This window comes from Homo sapiens, chromosome 12 (assembly GCF_000001405.40).
Source record: "Homo sapiens chromosome 12, GRCh38.p14 Primary Assembly".
Classification (NCBI taxonomy): domain Eukaryota; kingdom Metazoa; phylum Chordata; class Mammalia; order Primates; family Hominidae; genus Homo; species Homo sapiens.
This window is the reverse complement of record NC_000012.12, coordinates 69,026,154-69,032,153: the sequence shown is the minus strand read 5'-3', so window position 1 is coordinate 69,032,153 and position 6,000 is coordinate 69,026,154. Positions and strand designations below refer to the sequence as shown.

General features: G+C 39.5%; 1 annotated feature.

Annotated features, from left to right (window-relative positions):
• Nucleotides 5,426-5,655: a silencer, noted in NCBI's record as "fragment chr12:69420279-69420508 (GRCh37/hg19 assembly coordinates)". NCBI's record gives its function as "represses an EF-1alpha promoter that drives an FKBP-Casp9 reporter gene in an ReSE screen in K562 erythroleukemia cells {active_cell/tissue: K562}" and the evidence as "EXISTENCE:reporter gene assay evidence [ECO:0000049][PMID:32094911]".

Here is a 6,000-nt window from a genome sequence, read left to right as displayed (position 1 = left end):
TCACATGAAATAAGCACAGAAACTGAGAGTAAGCATTTAGAAACTTTTGTACCAATCTGACATTGGTTCATCGTCTCATTAAATAGGGTATAGGCCAGCTATCGTATGGTCAAATAGAGTACTGAATCACACATGATGTAGATTCCATACTGTTATGGACAATACAACTGCTTTTCAACATGTGATATATTCAGGTTAGTCACCTATAACCTAAAGGTAAAATATAAATAGATGAAAGCATTTCTTTTTAAGTTTTTTAAAACTTATTTTTAAATTTACAAATAAAAATATATTTAATTGAAAGTATTTCTTTATTTTTATAACTTATTGTTTATATCATTTTAATATTAATCAAGCTAGTCTTTAAAATATATATATATATATATTTGGCTGAGCATGATGGCTCATGCCTATAATCCCAGCACTTTGGGAGGCCGAGGCAGGCAGATCACTTGAGGTTAGGAGCTCAAGACCAGTCCGGCCAACATGATGAAAGCTTGTCTCTACTAAAAACACAAAAATTAGCTGGGTGTGGTGGCACATGCCTGTAGCCCCATCTACTCAGGAGGATAAGGCAGGAGAATCGCTTGAACCCAGGAGGTAGAGGCTGCAGTGAACCGAGATCACGCCACTGCACTCCAGCCTGGGTGACGGAGTGAGATTCCATCTCAAACAAACAAACAAAAAAAGTATATATATTTAACCTCATAGCTAAAGTAAGAATATAAACTTTATAAAATTTATTTTTAACCCTAATTGGCAAATTGGGAAACAAGTTTTACAAGATTTCTTTTTCAAGAATCAACACACATTGCAAATGTTGTAGTTGTAGTAAACCAAATGACAATGGAAGTTGATTCTGAAGAAATAGAGACCAAAAAAGTTCATACTCATTTTATTTGGATGTATAATTTTCATGTGTTGAGTTCACTTTGTAGTCATCATTGATGATAAAATGCTAAAACTATAGTGTATTATTCATAGCACTTTACTGACTAATGAAGCAATGAAACCATTAAAATTTAAGTGGCATTTGCATACCATATGTAAAAAATAAGAGCAAAATCAAAAGAATTCTTTGAAAGAAGGAGTACTGATTTTAAAACCTGACAGAAGCAGATGTTAACTATTTCACATGAAAGAAACTTTGCAGGCTTCTTATAAAGTAGTATTTGGGATTGCTAAGATCAAACATATATACAATTGCCAAGACATGAATGCAAGACTGCATGCATCAAAGATATTGGCTTAAAAATGTTGGGTGATACTGTGCAAGAGAAGTAGCTCAAATGCCATTTTCTAGTGAAACTATAGCTCAACATATTTGGGAATTGGCTAGTGATATGGAAGGTTAACTCACAGGGAAAAAATGAAATTAGCAGAATATTTCTCATTGCAACTAGATGAATGCACAGATATAGTTATGGCCATTCGGTTATTATATGTATGATTTCAATGTGATCGCTATTGGAAGAAATAGTTCTTTTATTTTTTTAGCCTCACAGCCAATAAATACAACTGTGAATTGTATAAAACTATAAAGGATTCCATTGTTCATAAATGTGTCTGGAGTTTAGGATTTTGTGTAGGATTATATTCTGATGGCACAGCTGCCATGACTGTAAAACATTCTGGATTAGTTACCCAGTTTAAGGAACTTGTGCCAGAATGTAAATCAACATTCTGCTTCGTTCATCAAGAAAGAAGTCAGCTGAACATAGGCTGGTCTCAATTCATGAGCCTGAAATGCCTTTCATAGGAAGATAATTTAAATTTCATTATAATTTTAGAAGGTAAGTTATTGGAACTGGCTACTGATGAAGGACTGAAGATGAATTTTGCTCCATTTTGTATAAAAATCAAAAATGAATGACCTGAGCTTGCTGAAATTACTCTGAAATATCTTATTCCATCCACCCATCAAAATACCCCTGTGAGACCGATTTTGTTACAAAGCATGAAAACAGTTTAGATATATGTTATTACCTATAAGCGGTATTTTATCAACTCAACCAAGATTGAACAGGTAATAGGCAAACTCATTTGTCACATTAAAACTCTTAAATATTGACATGAATGGTGCTGTGTGCTATAGACATCTAATACTTGGGAATTCTATCTTATTCATAAAGTTTTGTTTAGTTATGACCATGGAGCAATCAAAGTTATGAAGAGGGTAGTGATTGCACATGTTAATTATCTGTACACACACAACAGCAATGTCGATTTTGTGATTTTTTCTCTTTTATGTTTTTATTATATTTATGGAAATGTTATTTTATGCCTAACAATAAGAAACATGGATTTGTATTTTGTATGTCTTTGTTTTTATTTCACTTTTTTAGCAATTCTTTTTTTCTTTTTCTTTTTGAGAAGGAGTCTTGCTCTGTTGCCCAGGCTGGGCTCACTGTAGCTTTGACCCCCCAGACTCAGTCATCCTCTCACCTCAGCCTCCAGAATCGCTGGGACCACAGGTACGTACCACCATGCTGCCTAATTTTTTTTAAATTTTTTTGTAGAGACGAGGTCTTCCTATGTTGCCCAGGCTGATCTCAAACTCCTGGGCTCAAGCAATCCTCCTGCCTCAGCCTTCCAAAGTTTTGGGATTACAAGTGTGAGTCACCGTGCCTGGCTACTATTCATTTTGTTGCAGTAAAAAAAGTGTTGATCTGTAACAGATAGGAAGTCAAAAAACAGGGGGAAAGATCTTTCATGCCAAATTGAAAAACGCTGCTTTAGAGGGTCAGTCTAGTGCAAGGGGTCTGTGGGGCCAACAGAGCATGCTTACCCAGAGCCCATGGTCAGCATTCCCAAAGAATCCCAGCCCCAGAGGCCCGAGTCTTCCTGGGAGGCCCATGCAAGTTTCTCCCCTGGGAGCACATGCTAGGGGTGAATGGTACCACCAGTGTGCAAAGCCCAGAGCCTAGAGTGTTTGTGGGATGTGTGAGTAGAGCTGGGAAGCGCAGGCTGTGTGTGCACAAGGCCTTTCACAGTGTGCAGGGGAAGGAGGGGGCAGTCCAGGGGCAAGAGCCAGCTTGTTCAATGCCGCTGTGTTCCAGCATGAACCCCACAGAGTCCAAGAAGCCTAAATTTAATCCGTATTGTTAAGAAGATATATTTGTCAAGCAGGATAATAGAATGTACTTAACAGTTGATAGTTTCACTTATAACTTTAAAAGTTTCAGACATTTAGAATGCGAGCTCCGTTTTGGTTTTTGTATGAGCCCCATAAATGTTAGGAAAGAACCTGTCCAGGAGTTACATCAAAACTACAGCCATAGGTCAGGGGTGGTGGCTCACACCTGTAATCCCAACACTTTGGAAGGCCAAGGTGGGAGGACTGTTTGAGGCCAGGAGTTTGAGATCAGCCTGGGCAACATAGTGAGACCCCATCTCTACTAAAAATAAAAAAAGTTAGCCAGACCTCATAGCATGTCCCTGTAGCCCCAGCTACTCAGGAGGCTGAAGTGGTAGGATCCCTTGAGCCCGGGAGTTCGAGGTTGCAATGAGCTATGATCACGCCACTGCATTTCAGCCTGGGTTACCAAGGGAGACCTCATTTCAAAGATAAAAACGAAGCAAAGCAAAACAAAACAAAACAAAACAAAAATAACTGAAGTCATAGATGGAGCAGTCAGCATGGAGGAGATATTTGAAGCTGAGGGAGAGGCAGTAGAGTGTAAAGAGGGCAAGTTCTACATTCAGACTGCCTGGTTCTAATCCCAGATCGGCCACCTACTAGCTGTAGTACTTAGGGCTACCTTCTGTACCTTGATTTTCTCATTTGTGAAATGGAGATGTTAATAGCACCTCATGGGAATGTTTCAAATGTCCAGTGAGTTCATCCATGTGAAGCACTTAGAACAGGGTGGCATAGAGTAAGCTCTCAATACCAAGCAAGTGGGTAAATAACCTGCAGAAGGAGCACAGAGCAAGAACAGAAGATGCTCAGGGAAGCCTTGGAAAGAAAACCTAGAGATGCATGGAGGGCAGACAGTGTCCCCAGCACCCAGTGCAGTGCCAGGCAGGTGGCAAGTGCTCAGTAACTGTGGATGGATTTGTAAAGGATCCTGGAAAGGAGACTGAGAAGGAGCACTTAACACACCAAATGAAGCAGAAAGGTCAAATGATGGGAGCCCTTAGATTCCTAATCAGGAAATACCTTTAAAAGGACATTTCAATTCACAGAAAGTCAGATGGCAGTAGATTAAAGAATAAGTACGTAGGTACTTCTCTTTTTAGTTTAGCTTAGTAACTCTAGTGGAAGCTACTCTTTTTAAAGAGTTGACAGTGAAGGGAAGAAAGGGATAAAATAGTAGCTGGAGGGGGATGGAAGGTTGAGAGAACTTCCTTTTATGTTAGAGGAAATATGGGCAGACATGCTGCTAAGAGAAAGGAACCAGCGGAGAGGAAGGGATGATTAATGGAGCAAGAATCTAGGAGAAGGAGGGGAGAAAATGGAATCAAGAGAAAAAAGCATAGGAGTCAGTCTTATAAAAGAATGCCATGCCTGAGGTGAAAGGAAGCAGGATGATCGATAAGGATATAGAGAAGTATTGAGGCATAATAAGTTGAAGAAATTCTTTCAGTTCATGCAGGGGAACTTGCATTACTGGAAGAGCAAATACACATAGCTGACTAATAGGGAGCATATTCCTTTACCCATTGTGGTGAGACTCTAAAGAGGCTCACGCACTGTAGCCTCTGCCTAGCTTGTGTCCCTATTCCATGGAGCGGTAGTTGGCAAACTACAGCCTACGGGCAAGATTTAGCCTGCTGCCTGTTTGTGCACAGCCCCTGAGCTAGGAGTATTTGCTTTTTTTTTAAATTGTGATAAAATATACATAACATAACATTTACCATGTTACCCACTTTTAAGTGTACAATTCAGTGGAATTAAGTAAATTCACAGTATTATGTGACCATCACCATTATCCATTTCCAGAATGTCGTCATCCCAGACAGAAACTCTGTATCTATTAAACACCAACTCTCCATTCCCGTCTTGTCCCAGCCCCTGGAAACATCTATTGTACTTTCTGTCTCTATGAATCTGCCTATTCTAGGTACCTCATGTAAGTGGAATGATACAATATTTGTCCTTCTGTGTCTGCCTTGTTTCACTTAGCGTAATGCTTTCAAGTTTCATCCATGTTGTAGCATTTATCAGGATTTCATTTCTTTTTATGGCTGAATAATATTCTATTGAGTGTATACACTATACTTTATTAATTCATCTGTTGATGAAGGTTTGGGTTGTTTCCACATTTTGGCAATTGTGAATAATGCTGCTGTGAAAGTTGGGATGTAAGTATCTAATTGAGTTCCTGCTTTAAATTCTTTGGGTTACATACTATATTAGTCCATTCTCACACTGCTGTAAAGAACTACCCGAGACTGGGTAATTTATGAAGCAAAGAGGTTTAATTGGCTCACAGTTTCTCAGGTTGTTCAGGAAGCATGGTTTGGGAGGCCTCAGGAAACTTACAATCATGGTGGAAGGGCAAAGGGGAAGCAAGCACCTTCTCCACATGGCAGAGCAGGAGAGAGAGAGAGCCAAGGGGGAAGTACTACACACTGTTAAACAACCAGAGAACACATTGACTATCATGAGAACAGCAAGAGGGAAGTCCGCCCCCATGATTCAATCACTTCCCACCAGGCCTCTCCTCCAACATGTGGGGATTACAATTCAACATGAGATTTGGGTGGAAACACAGAGCCAAACAATATCACATCCCTGGGAGTGGAATTGTCAGATCATACAGTAATTCTTGAGAAACAGCTAAACTGCTTTCCACAGCAGTTGCATCATTTTACCTTCCCACTAGCAAGATCAAGGGATTTGATTTCCCCACATCTTCATAGTACTTGTTATTTTCTGGGTTTTTAAAAATTAGGATGGCTGCTAATGAGTAGTCATGCTAACAGATATGAGGTGAGATCTCGTTGTAGTTTTGATTTGCATTTCCGCATTGGCTAGCGAGGTTGAGCATCTTT